This window comes from Homo sapiens, chromosome 7 (genome assembly GCF_000001405.40).
Source record: "Homo sapiens chromosome 7, GRCh38.p14 Primary Assembly".
NCBI classification, from domain to species: Eukaryota; Metazoa; Chordata; class Mammalia; order Primates; family Hominidae; genus Homo; species Homo sapiens.
The window spans coordinates 152,436,642-152,456,828 of NC_000007.14; the positions used below are offsets into that span (position 1 = coordinate 152,436,642).

Below are 20,187 nucleotides of genomic sequence, written 5' to 3' on the forward strand. Positions count from 1 at the left end.
GCCGCTCCCGCCGCCCGCGGACGCGCCGCCGCCGCTGACCTCACCGCCCCTCCCCCTCCCCCCCGGGTTCCCTCCCCCTGTGACGCGGCGGCCGGGCCCAGCCGCGACTCCGGCTCCGGCTCCGGCTCCGGCTCGGGAGGTAGCCAAGCTGTGGACCCAGAGATCCGGGATCGGGATCGGGGAACTGCGGGCGAGGGCGGGAGGGAGCCGCGGACACACGCCGAGGCGGCCGCGGTCGCCCGGCGCAGCCCGGCGCGAGGAGCAAATGTGCGCCCGCACGGCGAGGGCAGCCCGGGCTTCGCTGGTTCTCGCCGAGGTCTTTCCTCGTAGCGCCCACACTACGGGGAGGAAAAGGAATGGAGTCAACTTCGTTCGAATCCAACGCCAGTTAGTTTCCTTATTATAACGTCATTTTTTTTAATCCAGAAAAGGTTCATAAGGATGTAAGACGAAAAGAACGATGACAGCTCGAGAAATAAAACGGTTAGAGACAAAATAAGCCAATAAAAACCCAACCACTTGATTTTAACGTTCAGTGTGTTGTGATGAAGAGGCAAAAATCGAAGTACTTCTAAGCCACCTCTCATAATATGTAAAAATGGTAAAAAGAAAAATGGGGCTAGAATCCGCCTGAAAAATGCACTTTCTCAAGAAGGACAGTTACAAATATGGGATTCTGGATTTCTCAGGCTAATACCTAACACTTGGACGATGATCTATTCTGTGCTTTCCATTCACTATCGATTAGTTTATGAGAGTGAAAAAATTCTAGATTTGAATGGGGGGAAATAGTAAGACCTATCAACCATTTGTGAAGGATTGGGGTAAACTATCATTTAATAAGCATCTACTTTGGGCCTAGCGTTAAGAGGCACACTCTCATGTTGATTTCTTTTGATCTTCGCAGTGTAGTTTTAGTGTAAGGTAAAAAAAAATAGGCTCCTTTTCCAGCGATGTTTGCTTTCCCTTCTAGTAGCTAGGATGTTAACTTTAAACTGTGTCTTCTACTTGGGCAAAATACACACACTTTGATTCCCAGAGCCTATTCTAAATGAAAGCATAATTTTTTGAAATGGCTGAAATGAGGAATAACGTCAGATAGTCATTTGAATACCTTCAGGGTTTAATCCCTGCTGGCTCTTTCAAATTTACTAAATTTATAACCAAAGGAAATTTGGGATTGAGGAGGAGGCTGGCATGGTAAATGCAAACTAGAAATTAAAAGTGCCTGACGATTACACATAGAAATACAACATATATGTGACTAGTGATAAACATATGATGTGATCTAGTGAAAGTTTACTCAGTACAAATTTGAAAGCACCCTTTCTTTTTTCATTTTCTTCAGCACATTGTACTTTAAATAAAGTGTGCTTTCAAAACTGGATTATTGATCCAAATATTTAGCTGTGTTCCGTACTGAAATTAGAATAGGCACTTCCACGGTGAGTTTCACATGTACAAAATTATACATCAGGATAATTTACTTCCATACGCTTCTCCAGCACTTCTGAGAACTTAAGTGTCAGTGGATACAAATTGCAAGTCACTCCTGCTGGAGAGTTCACAAGAAACAAAGGGTACTAAGAGCAGAAAAGTGAGCCGAGTGAATGGAAGGGTAGAAACAGAGGTTTGTGCAGGGATGCTTCTGGATAGATGATGATGCAGGTAAGTAAACTCAGCCTGAAATCTCCATTCCTTTGGCCACTATGAGCAGGGAGTTGGGATCTGTTTTAAGAGAGCTGATAGCAGTCTCCTTGGCATGAAGTTATCATGAACAGAGCAAATCAAATATAACCCAGGATGCTGAGGAAGGATTCAAGGAATACTTATTCAACATAAATAAAGGTTTTCCAGAGGTTTTTCCGTCTCAGTCATCCAAATTACACAGCTCTGAGACCACAGTAGCAAAAATCTAGGAGGCAGGGAGCTGAGGTCCTTCAAAATTATGAAAGCAAAAAGGCAGGAGCATCTGGAAACAGTACCAAATACAACAGAAAAATATTAGAATGTGTACTTTCTAATAAGTATACATGTTAAATATGGGATTTTAAATTTAGGTAGATGTGTACTAACCTGTTAACCAATCATCTGCAAAGGGGTGAATTACAAGGGACTTTTACTGTCTAAAATATTTGAATATTTCAAAGCACATGTAGTAATCATCTAATCATATATATATATATATATATGTAGTTTTTAATGGGGAGGGAATGAGCATTGTTATCTTTGACAAAGAAAAACCAACATCTCAGAAAAATATAGGCAAGGAAGATTCTCAAAGCATCTAGCAAACAAGTGACAGTGAATAAAAATTCATAGTCCAATATTCATTCTTACTAATTGAAGGCCTATAACATGTGATTGTCTTTATTTAGAATGCACAGGTTCACTACTAAATGTTGTCTCTCTTGTTTTCCCATAAATTCCTCAGGGCTTTTTAGGAACCAAACTTTCACTGTTATAGAAGGACCACTGAAAGCTTAAATTTTAGATCTTAGAATTTTTGTGTTCATATTGTTATTATTAAAGTTGCACTGTAGGCTGGGCACTGTGGCTCATGCCTGTAATCCTAGCACTTTGGAAGGCCAAGGCGGGTGGATCACTTGAGCTCAGGAGTTCGAGACCAGCCTGGGCAACATAGTGAGACCTCCGTCTCTACAAAAAAATACCAAAGAAAATTAACCAGGCCTGGCTGGGCGCGGTGGCTCACACCTGTAATCCCAGCACTTTGGGAGGCCAAGGCAGGCGGATCATGAGGTCAGGAGATCGAGACCATTCTGGCTAACAAGGTGAAACCCTGTCTCTACTAAAAAAGCAAAAAATTAGCCGGGCGTGCTGGCAGGCACCTGTAGTCCCAGCTACTCGGGAGGCTGAGGCAGGAGAATGGCGTGTACCCGGGAGACGGAGCTTGCAGTGAGCTGAGATCGCGCCACTGCACTCCAGCCTGGGTGACGGAGTGAGACTCCGTCTCAAAAAAAAAAAAAAGAAAAAAAAATTAACCAGGCCTGGTGGCACATGCTTGTAGTCCCAGCTACTTGGGAGGCCGAAGTGGGAGACAGTCTTGCTCTGTCACCTAGGCTAGAGTGCAGTGATGCGATCTCGGCTCACAGCAACCTCCACCTCAAATTTGCCGGGCACGGTGGCTCATGCCTGTAGTCCCAGCACTTTGGGAGGCCAAGGCAGGCAGATCACTTGAGGTCAGGAGTTCGAGACCAGCCTGGCCAACATGGTGAATCCCCATCTCTACTAAAAATACAAAAATTAGCCTGGCATGGTGACGTGCGCCTGTAATCCCCGCTATTCTGGAGGCTGAGACAGGAGAATTGTTTGAACCCAGGAGGCGGAGGTTGCAGTGAGCCGAGATCGCGCCATTGCACTCTAGCCTGGGCAACAAGAGCGAAACTCTGCCTCAAAAAAAAAAAAATTCATATTGCTATATAAGTTATTTCAGTAAAGTATATCATGTGCCTGTTTGGTGGAAAAGTTAAAGGAAGAAACCAGGAAGGAAACAAGCAGAACAGTCATCTTCAAAAGTAATTTGTGTTTAAGAATGTGAGGCTTAAGTAGATGTTTTGCAGTACATTTTATATAGATACTAATCTTGCCCTCTAGGGGTCTATACTTTAAGCCTGGCAGTAGTAGTTAACAAGGATAAACACAAAAGGACAAGTAAGCAACTAGAAAATAAACATGGAGGCCGGGCATGGTGGCTCACGCCTGTAATCTCAGCACTTTGGGAGGCCGCGGTGGGAGGATCACGAGGTCAGGAGTTCGAGACCAGCCTGGCCAATATGGTGAAACCCTGTCTCTGTTAAAAATATAAAAACTAGCTAGGCGTGGTGGTGCACACCTGTAGTCCCAGCTACTCAGGAGGCTCAGGCAGCAGAATCCCTTGAACCTAGGAGGCGGAGGGTGCAGTGAGCTGAGATTGTTCCAGTGCACTCCAGCCTGGGCAATAGAGGCAGACACCACCCCCCCCCAAAAAAAAAGAGAAAGAAAAGAAACATGGAAAAACATACAAATAGAAAGATTAAATATTTACGTCCATTGTGTACAAGATCATAGTTTTAAAAGAAATGCATCTGTGGATTCAGGGGGAAGGGCAGCAGTGGGAGAAGTCATAGCAGACAACCATATCTATTCAGAAGAGGGTGACAGAACACATTCTGCTGGCAAGTATCATAAACTAGAAATTTTCAGGCCAGGCATGGTGGTTTACATCTGTAATCCCAGCACTTTGGGAGGCCAGGGTAGGCAGATCACTTGAGGTCAGGAGTTCGAGACCAGCCTGACCAACATGGTGAAACCTCGCCTCTACTAAAAATACAAAATTAGCCAGGCGTGGTGGCAGGCACCCGTAATCCCAGCTATTCTGGAGGCTGAAGCAGGAGAATTGCTTGAATCAGGGAGGCGGAGGTTGCAGTGAGCCAGGATCGTGCCACTGCACTCCAGCCTGGGCGACAGAGTGAGATGCTGTCTCAAAAAAAGAAAGAAAAGAAAGAAAGAAAGAAGGAAGAAATGGAATAGACAGCCCTATTCATCACCCTGCAGGCTGAAGCCTAAATTCCTTGGCTTGACTCACTAGGTCCTGGAGAGCCCCTGCTACCCTCTGGCGAACGTGCTCATCTCTTCCCCAGCTTTCCTTCTCACCTGACCACCAGTTTTCAGAACTCCTTCCAGTGGGCTACAAACCACCAGGCTGTCCCATCGCCCTTCCCCTTTCCACGAGGCCAGTTCCTACTTTTTCTTCGGCTCTTGCTTTAGACCTCTGCCCTCCGTGAGAATGGCTGTGTCCCCCTAAATGCTTCTGCCAACCTTGTGCTTTCCCCACTCACAGCTCTCATTGCCTGTAATGAAAGTGCCCAGATTAATGTCTATATTGTCCCTAAACCCAGCGGAGATGGCAGTAGTTATCTGCCTTATTTCCCCTATTCAACAGCAGCTCAGTGAACAGTTGTAGGGTAACTGAAATGAATATGAAAATATAGGTTAGGTGTTAGAAAAAGAGCTAAGAGGATCCTTTATAGGAGTGTTTATTTTATTTTATTTTATTTTTTGAGACAGGGTCTCACTCTGTCACCCAGGCTGGAGTGCAATGGCACAATCTCAGCTCACTGCAACTTCCACCTTCAGGGCTCAAGCAATCCTCCCACCTCAGCCTTCCAAGTAGCTGACTACAGGCACACATCACCACGGCCGGCTATTGTTTTGTATTTTTAGTAGAGACAGGGGTCTTGTCATATTGCCCAAGCTAGTCTTGAATGCCTGAACTCCACCTGGCTGAGGCCTCCCAAAGTGCTGGGATTATAGGCTTAAGCCACCGCCACTGGCCAGTCGTGTTTATTTTATTTATTTATTTATTTATTTATATTATTTATTTATTTTTTTTTTTAGACTGAGTCTCGCTCTGTTGCCCAGGCTGGAGTATAGTGGTGCAATCTCGGCTCACTGCAATGTCCACCTCCCAGGTTCAAGAGATTCTCGTGCCTTAGCCTCCCGAGTAGCTGGGATAACAGGCACCCACCATCACACCTGCCTAATGTGTTTATTTTTTTAAAAAAAGAAACTGTATCTTTAGAGAAAATGTATACATGCATACTTTGCTACATTTTTGTTGATTGTTACATTTTACATTTGTATAACAATACAGGCAAGTCATCTTTGCACTCATAACCACATCTTTTATGGAACATCAAGCCTACTCTGAGGTACAGGCTTTCAGAAGCCTGAATTTGGAGGACCATGCCTGAACCAAATGGAGTCTCCAGAATCAAAACTGCTCAAAATAATCATTCATGGTTCTCAGACCAAATAAGATCTACTTAGAAACATTTCTCGACAGCACGCTGCCATGCCGACGCAGACCCCACTCTGCACGCCAGCCCCCCTGCACCCACCATGGCCACAGTTCAGCAGCTAGAAGGAAGATGGCGCCTGGTGGACAACAAAGGCTTTGATGAATACATGAAGGAGCTAGGAGTGGGAATAGCTTTGTGAAAAATGGGCGCAATGGCCAAGCCAGATTGTATCATCACTTGTGATAGCAAAAACCTCACCATAAAAACTGAGAGCACTTTGAAAACAACACAGTTTTCTGGTACCCTGGGAGAGAAGTTTGAAGAAAACACAGCTGATGGCAGAAGAACTCAGACTGTTTGCAACTTTACAGATGGTGCATTGGTTCAGCATCAGGAGTGGGATGGGAAGGAAAGCACAATAACAAGAAAACTGAAAGATGGGAAATTAGTGGTGGAGCGTGTCATGAACCATGTCGCCTGTACTCGGATCTATGAAAAAGCACAATAAAGATTCCATCATCACTTTGGACAGGAGTTAACCAAGAGAATGACCAAGCTCAGTTCAATGAACAAATCTCCATACTGTTTCTTTCTTTTTTTTTTCATTACTGTGTTCAATTATCTTTATCACAAACATTTTACATGCAGCTATTTCAAAGTGTGTTGGATTCATTAGGATCATCCCTTTGGTTAATAAATAAATGAGTTTCTGCTAAAAAAAAAAAAAAAAAAAAGAAAAAGAAACATTTCTCAGGCCGGGCACGATGGCTCACAGACCAGGCACAGTGGCACACACCTGTAATCCCAGCACTTTTGGGAGGCCGAGGCGGGTGGATCCCCTGAGGTCGGGAGTTTGAGACCAGCCCGACTAACATGGAGAAACCCTGTCTCTACTAAAAATACAAAATTAGCCGGGCATGGTGGCACATGGCTACTCCGTCCCAGCTACTCAGGAGGCTGAAGCAAGAGAATTGCTTGAGGCAGAGGCTGCGGTGAGCCGAGGGTGAGCCAAGATCGCCCCATTGTACTCCAGCCTGGGTGACAAGAGCGAAACTCCGAAACTCCATGTCCAAACAAAAAAAGAAACATTTCTCTGAGCCAAGATAATGTTGAGAAGGAAATGATTACAGAATAGCATATATGTATCATAATCTTATGTAACATGGTGTAAATCTATAATTATGTATGCATACAATATGTGCAAAGTAGTAATGTTCATCAAGTTGTAAACAACGGTTATCTCTGAACTAGGATTCCAAATGACCTTTCCCCTTTTTTTTTTGAGACAAGTCTCACTCTGTTGCCCCGGCTAGAATGCAGTGGTGCAATCATGGCTCACTGAAGCCTCAACCTCCTGAGCTTAAGCAGTCCTCCCGCCTCAGCCTCCCAAAGTGCAGGGATTACACGCATGAGCCACCACACCCAGACTAAATATGTGTTAAACTAAAGCAGAAGCATCATTACCCGAGTAGGCTCTATAGGAAGAAAGAGGAGACGAGTGAGGAAAGGAGAGAGAATGAAAAAAAGAGACTTAAATTGTAAGCATTGAAGGTTAGGATGGGAAGGCGATTCGCATTTAAACCTCAGGGCCCCATTTAGGCTTCTACCTCCCTGACCGCTGGGAGGCTGGTTGCTTTTCACCCCTCTGGGTTCACTTCTATTTGTCTGTGAGCTGTCAGCATCCTTCCCCGCTTGTCTTGCCCTGCCTCTGCCAGGGAGGCAGAGTTGGGAGTCGTGGCACAGGCATGCACGCTGTGCAGCCTCCCACACCTGCACCCTGAAAGACCAACAGACACCCTAAGAAACCTGATACACAAGCACAAACTGATAAGATACCCAAAAAGGCAAAGGCAGACAGATAGCAAAACATGGCTAATATTACACAGTACTGCAAGAGAAAGTAACACCAAAACAAAACAAAACACAGACATCGTCTCTCAGTTCCTTCTCAAAAAAAAAAAAAAGGCCAGGTATAGTGGCTCACACCTGTAATCCCAGCATTTTTGGAGGCCGAGGTGGGCAGATCACTTGAGGCCAGGAGTTCGAGACCGGCCTGGCCAACTATGGCCAACATGGTGAAACCCCCCATCTCTACTAAAAATACAAAAAATTAGCCGGGCATGGTGGCTGGCACCTGTAATCCCAGCTACTGGGAGGCTGAGGCAGGAGAATTGCTTCAACCTGGGAGGCGGAGGTTGCAGTGAGCTAAGATTGTACCACTGCACTCCAGCCTGGGCAACAGAGTGCAACTCTGTCTCAAAAAAAAAAAAAAAAAAAAAAAAGCGTGGGTGTGGTGGTGGCTCACACCTGTAGTCCTAGCACTTCGGGAGGCCAAGGTGGAAGGCTCTCTTGAGGCTAGGAATTTGAGACCTGCCTGGACAACATACAGAAACCCTGTCTCTATAAAAAATAAAAAAACTAGCTAGGTGTGGTGGTGTGCGCCTATAGTCCCAGGTACTTGGGAGGCTGAACAGGAAGACTGCTTGAGACCAGGGAGTTGGGCCTGCAGTGAACCATGGTCATGCCCCTGCACTCCAGACAGGGTGAAGTGGGTAGTTTTTCACTTGATCTCCTCCTTATTGTATCTAACGTTTAAACAAGTCTCAGACCTGGTGCAGAGGTGCATGTACCTCCATTGCTGGACAAGGCCTGACTTTTGCCTGCTGGTAGGGCCTCCTCAGTTCTAACCAGACTTCTGCGACCTCATTCTCTATCCTGGTTCCATTTTCCACTTTGTGACTTCATCAGTTAAAGATCCCATTTCAGCCACCAAGGTTGAGAGGCCCCAAGACCCAGTTCCTTTACAGAATCAACCCTGGGGTGGCTTTAGGACTGGGCTCTTTGGAGCTCATCCTTGGACCCACAGTGGAGCGCTGGTCTGTGCTAACATCTTCAGATACCAATCAATGGGCATTTGGCTCCTTGCTTCCACTGACCTCTTGAGTACTTTCAACGATCGGTGTCAAGGGTGCCCCTGCTGCTGTTTCTAGAGCATCTCTGCAACCCACGGTGGCCTCTCCTCTTTCTGCGGGCCATGGACAGCACAGTCCCTTCAGCCCTGGAGCTGCCCCAGCGGCTGGCACTGAACCCAAGGGAGAGCCCAAGGAGTCCGGAAGAGGAGGAGCCCCACCTGCTGAGCAGCTTGGCTGCAGTCCAGACCCTGGCCAATGTCATCCGGCCTTGCTATGGCCCCCATGGCCGGCAGAAGTTCCTGGTGACCATGAAAGGAGAAACAGTGTGCACGGGGTGTGCCACTGCCATCCTCAGGGCCCTGGAGCTGGAGCACCCAGCGGCATGGCTCCTCCGGGAAGCAGCCCAAACCCAAGCAGAGAATAGTGGGGATGGCACAGCCTTCGTGGTTCTGCTGACGGAAGCCTTGCTGGAACAGGCAGAGCAGCTGCTGAAGTTCGGCCTGCCTCGCCCGCAGCTCCGGGAGGCCTACGCCACAGCCACTGCAGAGGTCCTGGCCACACTGCCCTCCCTGGCCATCCAATCTCTGGGGCCTTTGGAAGATCCGTCCTGGGCCCTCCATTCTGTGATGAATACCCACACCCTGCCCCCCATGAACCACTTGACCAAGCTGGTGGCCCACGCCTGCTGGGCTATCAAGGAGCTAGACGGCAGCTTCAAGCCTGAGCGTGTTGGGGTGTGCACGCTGCACGGGGGGACACTGGAGGATTCCTGCCTCCTCCAGGGGTTAGCAATATCTGGGAAGCTCTGTGGGCAAATGGCCGCAGTGTTAAGTGGTGCCAGGGTGGCTCTCTTTGCTTGCCCCTTTGGTCCTGCCCATCCAAATGCACCAGCAACGGCCTGTCTTTCTAGTCCTGCTGATCTAGCTCAATTTAGTAAAGGAAGTGACCAATTACTAGAAAAGCAAGTAGGCCAGCTGGCAGCCGCGGGAATTAATGTGGCAGTGGTGTTGGGGGAGGTCGACGAGGAGACCCTCACACTGGCGGACAAGTATGGCATCGTGGTGATTCAGGCTAGGTCTCGGATGGAGATCATTTACCTGAGTGAGGTGTTGGACACACCGCTGCTGCCTCGTCTGCTCCCTCCCCAGAGGCCAGGCAAGTGCCAGAGGGTTTACAGGCAGGAGCTGGGAGATGGTTTGGCTGTGGTATTTGAATGGGAATGTACAGGCACACCTGCCCTCACCGTGGTTCTCAGGGGAGCCACCACCCAGGGGCTGCGGAGTGCAGAGCAGGCCGTCTACCACAGCATTGATGCCTATTTCCAGCCATGTCAAGATCCCAGACTGATCCCAGGAGCTGGGGCCACAGAAATGGCTTTGGCAAAAATGCTCTCTGATAAAGGAAGCAGATTGGAAGGGCCCAATGGGCCTGCATTCCTAGCATTTGCCCGGGCCCTGAAGTATCTTCCTAAAACCTTGGCAGAGAATGCAGGCTTAGCTGTCTCAGACGTGGTTGCAGAAATGAGTGGAGTGCACCAAGGTGGGAACCTCCTAATGGGTGTGGGAGCTGAAGGGATAATAAATGTGGCCCAGGAAGGGGTGTGGGACACCCTAATAGTCAAAGCCCAAGGATTTCGAGCAGTGGCTGAGGTGGTGCTACAGCTCGTGACTGTAGATGAAATCGTAGTGGCCAAGAAAAGTCCCACACATCAGCAGATCTGGAATCCTGACTCTAAGAAGACAAAGAAACGCCCACCTCCTGTGGAAAAAAAAAAAATCCTTGGAATGAATAACTAGTGATACCCTCAATAAAACAGGGATTGCCAAGAAGGGAACAATCACCCCAAAAATGAATGTTTGCCTTTATTCCATGTTTGGTACTTGATTCAGTTTCTTTAAATAAAAACATGAAGGAACATAAAATTTCTTTTCATGTGCTTAGTTCCTTTCCAGTTCTCGAATTTTTTTTTTTTTTTTAGAGATGGAGTCTTGCTCTGTTGCCCAGGCTGGTGTGCAGTGGCATGATCTTGGCTCACTGCAACCTCCGCCTCCCTGGTTCAAGCGATTCTCCTGCCTCAGCCTCCCGAATAGCTGGGACTACAGGTGCGCGCCACCACACCCAGCTATTTTTTTGTATTTTTAGTAGAGACGGGGTTTCACCATATTGGCCAGGCTGGTCTCGAACTCCTGACCTCATGATCCTCCTGCCTCAGCCTCCCAAAGTGCTGGGATTACAGGCGAGAGCCACCGTGCCCGGCCAGTTCTTGACCTTTTCGTTTTCTGTTTCTCTCTATCAGATTCTCTTCCTTTCCTACGATAAGAGCAGGATTCAATTCTATTAAGATTTTTAAACTGAGTACCTATGTGGGCTTTGGGCATGCAAAACACAGTGCAGCAATCTCTTCCCAACTATTTGAGCATTCCCTGCATGATATTCTGACATATATGGACTTATGTCTAGATGTCACTTTAGGAGTCTGAAAACATCAGTTGCAGCTTACAAGAGTGGTCAGTCCTTCCTGTTGTGGTTATTTGAAAAAAAAGAAGGGACTATCATCTTAAAGCACAGAGAGAGAGAGAAAGCAGGAAAAGGGGCTGCTGTGCTGGCAGGCAGAAATTTAACTTAAAAAAAAAAATCCTTGCCTGACACAGTGGCTCATGCCTGTAATTCCTGCACTTTGGGAGGCTGAGACAGGAAGATCGCTTGAGTCCAGGAGTTCAAGACCAGCCTGGACAACATAGTGAGACCCTGTCTCTACAAAAATAAAAATTAAAAAAAATTAGCCAGGCGTGGGCCGGGCGTGGTGGCTCAAGCCTGTAATCCCAGCACTTTAGGAGCCCGAGGTGGGCGGATCACCTGAGGTCAGGAGTTCAAGACCAGCCTGACCAACATGCAGAAACCCCATCTCTACTAAAAATACAAAAAAGTAGCCGGACGTGGTGGCACATGCCTGTAATCCCAGCTACTTGAGAGGCTGAGGCAGGAGAATTGCTTGAACCCGCGAGGCAGAGGTTGTTGTGAGCTGAGATGATGCCATTGTACCCCAGCCTGGGCAACAAGAGCAAAACTCTGCCTCAAAAAAAAAAAAAAAAAAAATTAGCCAGGCGTGGTGATGCATACCTGTAGTCCCAGCTACTCAGGAGGCTGAGGTGGGAGGATCACTTAAGCCCAGGAGATCGAGGTTGCAGTGAGCTGTGATTGTGCCACTGCACTCCAGCCTAAGAGACAGAGCAAGACCCTGTCTCAACAAAACAAAACAAACCAAAACCAGCAAACATCCTTGGCATAGATAACAGAAGATAAGAACACATACCTTAGGACTATGCTAAGGTTGTTGTGTAGGTGAGGAGAAAGCTGAGGGTAGGGGGAAGGGCTAGGATTGGACAACCTTGGGCATTAAAGAAGGGGTCTAAGCAGAGGTGAGTGGGTTCAGCACCTAATACCCAAAGCTTTTTCCACATTTTTAACCATCCAAGTTACCCTAGGAAAAGATCAGAACCTATGGGACAGAATCTAGGAGATGAGAAGGTACAATCTCTTAGAATCATAAAAATAAAAAAGCTTTAGGCATATGCAGAGAGAATGAGACTCAAGAAACCATTGTCTTATAGCACGCATATTAGCCGCAACACAGCAAAACAAAATTTTATTTATTTATTTATTTTGAGACAGAGTCTTGCTCTGTCACCCAGGCATAGTGACTGGTGTGGCCCAGGAACCAGTGCAGCGGTGCAGTCTCAGCTCACTGCAACCTCCACCTCCTGGGCGCAAATGATTCTCCTGCCTCAGCCTCCTGAGTAGCTGGGACTACAGGTGTCCACCACCACACCTGGCTAATTTTTGTATTTTTAGTAGAGACGGGGTTTTGCCATGTTGGCCAGGCTGGTCTCAAACTTTGGACCTCAGGTGATCCACCTGCCTCGGCCTCCCCAAATGCTGGGATTACGGGTGTGTCCCACCCCAATTTGCTATATCTTGATTTTGTCTAGAATCTAAGTATCCTCTTTAATGTCATCTTTAAGTGTCCTTTTTTTTTTTTTTTTTTTTTTGAGATGGAGTCTCACTTGCCCAGGCTGGAGTGCAGTAGCATGATCTCGGCTCACTGCAACCTCCACCTCCCAGGTTCAAGTGATTCTCCTGCCTCACCCTCCCAGTAGCTGGGATTACAGGCGTCCGCCACTAAGCCAGACTAATTTTTTTGAATTTTTGTTTTTTTTTTTTTTGAGATGGCATCTCACTCTGTCACCCAGGCTGGAGTGCAGTGGTGTGATCTCAGCTCACTGCAACCTCCACCTCCCAGGTTGAAGAGATTCTTCCGTCTCAGCCTCCTGAGTAGCTGGGACTACAGGTGCGCGCCACCATGCCTGGATAATTTTTGTATTTTTAGTAGACACAGGGTCTCACCATAATGGCCAGGCTGGTCTCGAACTCCTGACCTCGTGATCCACCCGCCTCAGCCTCCCAAAGTGCCGGGATTACAGGCATGAGCCACTGTGCCCAGCCAATTTTTTTGAATTTTTTGTAGAGACGGGGTTTCACCATGTTGGCCAGGCTGGTCTCGAACCCCTGACCTCAAATGATTCGCCCGCCTCAACCACCCAAAGTGCTGGGATTACAGGCATGAACCACCAACCCCAGCATAAGTGTCCTCTTTAGTTGTCAAAACATGTGACTCAAACATCAAGTTGGTTTTTTTCTCCTACTGACTATGGAGAAGTTGACCAGAATTTGACCTCAATTTGGCCAGATCCAGACTCTTCTTCTGAGATTACAGGATCAAGGTCTCCTAGCATGCTAGGTCTCAATCCTCAAAGGCTTTGGCTTTGGGGTTGGCTACATATTTCTCTTCCAAGATGAGCTGCTTGCTTCAATTCCAGAAGCAGTTGAATTTCAGAAATGACAATTCCTGGAGGACATTTTCTTTTTCTTTTTTTTTGAGAGGGAGTTTCGCTCTTGTTGCCCAGGCTGGAGTACAATGGCATAATCTCGGCTCACCACAACCTCCGCCTCCCAGGTTCAAGCGATTCCTCTGCCTCAGGAGTAGCTGGGATTATAGGCATGTGCCACCACACCTGGCTAATTTTGTATTTTTACTAGAGACGGGGTTTCTCCATGTTGGTCAGGCTGATCTTGAACTCCTGACCTCAGGTGATCCGCCCGCCTTGGCCTCCCAAAGTGCTGGGATTACAGTCATGAGCCACTGCGCCTGGCCATTCCTGGAGTACATTTTCTATAAGAACTTGTAGCTGGTGGACTCATCCCAGACCCCTTCCAGCTTTGTGACACTGCTTTACTGTGCTCCAGCTTGATCTAGCAACCAGAGAACAATAGCCACAATCCAGAGAAAACGGGAGGAAAATGAGAACTGAGTCCTCGGAAATGAAGGAGATGAGAGGCTGACTTGGATAGTGGAGGCTGGGACTGAGCCTTGGGAACTGCTCATCCATTTGGGCTATATGTAGGCCAGTCATGGTGGCTCATCACCTCTAATCCCAGTAGTTTGAAAGGCCAAGGCAGGCGGATCGCTTGAGGTTAGGAGTTTGAGACCAGCCTGGACAGCGCACTGATACCCCTTTTCTACAAAAAAATAAATAAATTACCCAGGTGTGGTGGCATGCACCTGTAGTCCCACTTATTCGGAAGGCTGAGGCAAGAGAATCTCTTGAACCTAGGAGGCAGAGGTTGCAGTGAGCCGAGATGGTGCCACTGCACTCCAGCCTGGGCAACAGAGCAAGACTCCATCTCAAAATAATAATAATAATAAATTAAAAAATAAAAATTAACTGGGCATGGTGGTGCACACCTGTAGTCCCAGCTACTGGGGGGGGCTGAGATGGAAGGATTTCTTGAGCCCAGGAAGTCGAGGCTGCAGTGAGCAGTGATTGGTCCACTGCACTCCAGCCTGGGTGACAGAGTGAGACCCTTTCTCAAGAAAAAAAAAAAAAAAAAAAGACTTCAATCTACAAAAACATTGGAGTTCTGATGAAGAGAAAAAGGTATCAATTCCAAACTGTGAAAAGAACTGTGAAGAGAAGATTGAAAACAAAACAACAGAAAAGAGTTGTCATAGTTTGCCAGTCCTTTCTCTACATGGGCCAGCCTCTTCTCATGCGTATTGAGTTGTTTCTCCAGAGTCTTTTTTTTTTTTTTTTTTTTTTTGAGATGGAGTCTTGCTCTGTCACCCAGGCTGGAGTGTAGTGGTGTGATCCCGGCTCACTGCACCAGTAGACAGGTATGACAGATATTCCAAAAGTAGATGAGTCACCTTTTCCCCTGAAACATCAAGAATCCCCACCCCCCCAACCCCCCCCCCCCCGCCCCCCGCCGCAGGCTAAAGATCCTCTTTCCTAACTAGGGAGGAAGAGGAAGAAGGTTAGGGTAAGAATGAGGGAGATGGTGGTAGAATCTCTGAGAGGGATTCTACTCACCTCCCAGTGGGTTCCAAGGAGTGAGATTGGGGAAAGGACAATTAGAATCCGCAGCAAAGTTTGGGGGTCTGAGAAGAGAGGAGATTCTCTGCTTCCAATCTGGAACCCTGGGGCCCCAAGGAGTTCCCTGTGCCAACCAGACAGCAGAGCTGTAGACCAGGAATGGCTGAGGCCTCGGGCGGAGATGGGCCCCGGGTAGTTGATGGGATGTTCGCGGTGCTGAGCAGCCTCAGAGAACAGCCAGGGTCCCCCATGAAGCAGCAACCATGAAGCCGCTGAACCTTAGGGCATTTCAAGGTCATGAGAAAAGGTAGGATTGTAAACTTTAGCTGAGGCTTGAGAAAGACAGAAAATGACCTCAGACCACAGGACACCAAGATGCTGCATCAGCCCGTGGACTGGAGACTAATTGTGGGGTGAATGAGAGAAGGAGGTGAAGGAGAAGATCAAGAATGGACTTGGTTGAGGTTTAGCCTGATCAGGAAAAATCATAAAAGGCCAAAGTTTACCTGGAATTGACTAGATTAATTATTTTACCATCAGGCAGAAAAAGGGGCTAGAAATAGAAATACTGAGATGATTTAGTTATAAAAGCATAGCACGAATACTTCCCACACATTGAAGCGTAGGACTTAAGAATTTAAACTCTCGGCCGGGCATAGTGGCTCATGCCTGTAATCCCAGCACTTTGGGAGGCCGAGGCAGGCAGATCACCTGAGGTCAGGAGTTTCAGATCAGCCTGGACAACATGGTGAGACCCTTTCTCTAATAAAAATACAAAAATTGTCCAGGCGTTTTGGTGGGTGCTTGTAATCCCAGCTACTCGGGAGGCTAAAGCAGGAGAATCGCTTGAGCCTGGGAGGCAGAGGTTGCAGTGAGCCAAGACCCTGCCACTGCACTCCAGACTGGGCAACAGAGTGAGACTCCATATCAAAAAAGAATTTAAACTCTCTACAAACGTGAATTTTCTTTTTTTTTTTTTTTTTGAGACAGAGTCGCTCTTTCCCCCAGGCTGGAGTACAGTGGCACAATCTTGGCTCACTGCAACCTCCGCCTCCTGGGTTCAAGTGATTCTCCTGTCTCAGCCTCCCAAGTAGCTGAGATTACAGGCACCTGACACCACGCCCGGCTAATTTTTGTATTTTTAGTAGAGATGGGGTTTCACCATGTTGGCCAGGCTGGTCTTGAACTCCTGACCTCAAGTGATCCACCTGCCTCTGCTTCCCAAAGTGCTGGGATTACAGGTGTGAGCCACCACACCCGGCCAAATGTGAATACTGAATAAGGACTTCAGACACTGTCCTCTGGGTATTACCAACAGGGTTTGACACTAGTAATTGCAGCGCCACATAAGAAAGACCAGACGCTGGTTAGCAAAACAATGGTAATCCTCTGCAATGCAGCACATGTTTGAGAAGCAATTTTATACAGTAGACAGGGTGGAAAAAATGGCTCTTTGGAAGTTTTCTTCTAACTCACAGAATGCATCAGCAAGGAAAGATAGATCCCGGCAAGCTCAGGGGACATATGCCTCTCTATAGTGAAAAATATTTTCTTTCTTTTTTTTTTTTTTTTTTTTTAGATGGAGTCTCCCTCTGTCGCCCAGGCTAGAGTGCAGAGGCGCAATCTTGGCTCATGCAAGCTCCGTCCCGGGTTCACGCCATTCTCCTGCCTCAGCCTCCTGAGCAACTGGGATTACAGGCCTCCGCCACCACGCCCAGCTAACTTTTTGTATTTTTAGTAGAGATGAGGTTTCACTGTGTTAGCCATGATGGTCTTGATCTCCTGACCTTGTGATCCGCCCGCCTAAGCCTCCCAAAGTGCTGGGATTACAGACGTGAGCCACTGCGCCCGGCTGAAAAATATTTTCATATCCAGATCAACATTCATTTCTTAAAACATCTTAACACATGTCCTCTGCCTCCTGTGTCCACAGACTCCAGAACCCTAGCATTCCAGAATCCCCCCTCCCTACTGTGGCTGCTCCCCTCTTGGCAGGCACCCCAAGTTCTGGACTAGTATTTCCCCTACAGAAGAGAACAATATCAGCCAATCTCAGACTTCCCTATGCAGATGCAACATATTATGTTTCCTATTTCATTCCTAGTCAGTCATTTTGATTGCAAACCTCCTTCTATTTCAATTTTATTACTGTGGGTTTCTTTTTGTTGTTATTGTTTGTTTTTTTTGAGACAGAGTCTTCCTCTGTCACCTAGGCTGGAGTAAAGTGGCACAATCTCAGCTCACTGCAGCCTCCACCTCCCGAGTTCAAGTGATTCTCCTGCCTCAGCCTCTCAAATAGCTGGGATTACAGGTGCGTGCCACCACACCCAGCTTATATATATATATATATATATATTTTTTTTTTTTTTTTTTTTTTGAGACAGAGTCTTGCTCTGTCACCCAGGCTGGAGTGCAGTGGCGCGATCTCGGCTCACTGCAACCTCTGCCTTCCAAGTTCAACTGATTCTCCTGCCTCAGCCTCCTGAGTAGCTGGGATTACAGGCATGCACCATCACGCCCGGCTAATTTTTGTATTTTTAGTAGAGACGGGGTTTCACCATGTTGGCCAGGCTGGTCTCAAACTCCTGACCTTGTGATCCGCCCACCTCGGACTCCCAAAGTGCTGGGATTACAGGCGTGAGCCACCGCGCCTGGCCTATATAGATATATTTTTTGCATTTTTTGTAGAGATGGGGTTTCATCATGTTGGCCAGGCTGGTCTCAAACTCTTGACCTCAGATGATCCACCTGCCTCAGCCTGCTGGGATTACAGGCGTGAGCCATGCACCAGGCTAGTGTAGTTTTATTTACAAGAGGCATAACAATCCATGAACCAAGATTGAAATATTGTTTCAGTTGAAAATAGTTTCTAAAACTACTTGTGATATTTTCTATGTTACATTTTGAGAAGAATCTATACTTGCCTTAATTCCTAAAACTAAATAGAAAACATTTCAAAATATACTCATATGTTACTGAAATTTAAAGTCTTTTTTTTTTTTGAGACAGAGTTTCGCTCTTGTTGCCCAGGCTGGAGTGCAGTGGCATGATCTCGGCTCACCACAACCTCTGCCTCCCAGGTTCAAGCGATTCTCCTGCCTTAGCCTCCCGAGTAGTTGGGATTACAAGCATGTGCCACTACGCTCAACTAAATTTTTGTTTTGTTTTGTTTTGTTTTAGTAGAGATGGGGTTTCTACATGTTGGTCAGGCTGGTCTCAAACTCCCAACCTCAGGTGATCCACCCACCTCGGTCTCCCAAAGTGCTGGGATTACAGGCATCAGCCACCATGCCTGGACTGAAATTTAAAGTCTTAATTTAGATGTTCAACATCTTACAACAAAGATACAATCTATAAAATCTGATGTTCTTTTTTTTTTTTGAGACAGAGTCTCACTCTGTTGCCCAGGCTGGAGTGCAGTGGCACCATCTCGGCTCACTGCAACCTCTGCCTCCTGGGTTCAAGTGATTCTCCTGCCTCAGCCTCCCAAGTAGCTGTGACTACAAGCAGGTGCCACCACGCCCAGCCAATTTTTGTATTTTTAGTAGAGATGGTGTTTTGCCGTGTTGGGCAGGCTGTTCTCAAACTCCTGACCTCAAGTAATCTGCCTGCTTTGGCCTCCTGAATTGCTGGGATTACTGGTGTGCGCCACCACGCCCAGCACTGGATTTTCTTAAATTTCTCTTCTTTCATTTTTTTTTCTCTACTGAGCACTTCAGCTTTTAATAAAATTTTCTTCTTTTATCTATGAATACTCGTAAACTTTTTTTGGGGGGGACTTATCCAAATGAGCTTCTCAGAGTGTTGCAAGCTAAACATCTCCTCTCATTCTGCATAGAAACAGTGGAGTTCTGGAAGTAAGTGTAACTATTTACCTTTCAAGTCAATAAACCCAAGGGTGCACTTCGGTTTATTGTTCGAACAATTTGAACATTTATTAAGTGCCAACCCTTGTAAAGAATTACCCAGCAACCAGAATTCAACTTGGTCAGCAGGCAAGGAGTCTCGATCAGACAAACTCGCCATTTTGAAATATGAAAAATTATGCCGGGCACGGTGGCTCACGCCTGTAATCCCAGCACTCTGGGAAGCCGAGGCGGGCAGATCACAAGGTCAGGAGATCAAGATCATCCTGGCTAACACGGTGAAACCCCATCTCTACTAAAAATACAAAAAATTAGCCGGGCGTGGCGGCGGGCACCTGTAGTCCCAGCTACTAGGGAGGCTGAGGCAGGAGAACGGTGTGAACCTGGGAGGCGGAGGTTGTAGTGAGCCGAGATTGCGCCACTGCACTCCAGCCTGGGCAACAGAGCGAGACTCCGTCTCAAAAAAAAAAAAAAGAAAAATTACATGGAAGATGGCTGGAGAAGACAAGGGTCGCATGCTTCTGTGTGCCACTGCCACAGAAACATCCCGGGTGGTCAGCCCCTCAGTGAATGAATGGAGCTGTTTTGAAACCAGTGGGATGATGACAACTGTGGAAAGACCCCACTCGGATCTCCTGCTGCAGGTGTAATTGACTGAGAACCTCAACTGCTGTCCTCTGAATCTACCACCACCACATTTACAATAAGACCGTGCTTCCTGAGGGCTACGCCCAGACAGCGACTATGGGATAATAAGGTCACTTCCTGCCAGATTCTAATGGGGACTTGGGTCAGTTTGGCCAAAATCATCTGAGAGCTGCACTGCAGTCTGGGACCCTCCTACTTACTCTGTTCTCTTTTCTTTCTGGGGGGTCAAATTTCCCCATTCCGGCCAGGCGAGGTGGCTCACACCTGTAATCCCAGCACTTTGGGAGGCTAAGGAGGGCGGATCACCTGAGGTCAGGAGGTTGAGATCAGCCTGGCCAACATGGTGAAACCCCATCTCTACTAAAAATACAAAAGTTAGCCAGGCATGGCAGCACACACCTGTAATCCCAGCTACTCAGAAGGCTGAGACAGGAGAATCGCTTGAAGCCAGGAGGCAGAGGTTGCAGTGAGCTGAGATCTCACCACTGCACTCCAACCTGGGTGACAGAGCAAGACTCTGTCTCAAATA

At 47.2% G+C, this 20,187-nt stretch overlaps 2 pseudogenes across 1 annotated transcript, besides 4 other annotated features; both read left to right on the forward strand.

Moving 5' to 3' along the window:
• Nucleotides 39-378: a silencer, noted in NCBI's record as "silent region_18833". NCBI's record gives its function as "represses an Ori minimal core promoter by ATAC-STARR-seq in GM12878 lymphoblastoid cells {active_cell/tissue: GM12878}" and the evidence as "EXISTENCE:reporter gene assay evidence [ECO:0000049][PMID:35858748]".
• On the forward strand, nt 254-6,375 carry FABP5P3 (fatty acid binding protein 5 pseudogene 3; annotated as a pseudogene). The gene is made up of 2 exons (NR_002935.1): nt 254-387; nt 5,654-6,375. The product of NR_002935.1 is annotated as a fatty acid binding protein 5 pseudogene 3 (transcript).
• Nucleotides 4,478-4,678: a silencer, noted in NCBI's record as "fragment chr7:152138204-152138404 (GRCh37/hg19 assembly coordinates)". NCBI's record gives its function as "represses an EF-1alpha promoter that drives an FKBP-Casp9 reporter gene in an ReSE screen in HepG2 liver carcinoma cells {active_cell/tissue: HepG2}" and the evidence as "EXISTENCE:reporter gene assay evidence [ECO:0000049][PMID:32094911]".
• Nucleotides 8,576-10,635, forward strand: CCT8L1P (chaperonin containing TCP1 subunit 8 like 1, pseudogene; annotated as a pseudogene).
• Nucleotides 14,840-15,340: an enhancer, noted in NCBI's record as "H3K4me1 hESC enhancer chr7:152148566-152149066 (GRCh37/hg19 assembly coordinates)". NCBI's record gives its function as "activates a minimal SCP1, AML or CMV promoter by ChIP-STARR-seq in naive H9 embryonic stem cells {active_cell/tissue: H9 hESC(naive)}" and the evidence as "EXISTENCE:reporter gene assay evidence [ECO:0000049][PMID:30033119]".
• Nucleotides 15,341-15,841: an enhancer, noted in NCBI's record as "H3K4me1 hESC enhancer chr7:152149067-152149567 (GRCh37/hg19 assembly coordinates)". NCBI's record gives its function as "activates a minimal SCP1, AML or CMV promoter by ChIP-STARR-seq in naive H9 embryonic stem cells {active_cell/tissue: H9 hESC(naive)}" and the evidence as "EXISTENCE:reporter gene assay evidence [ECO:0000049][PMID:30033119]".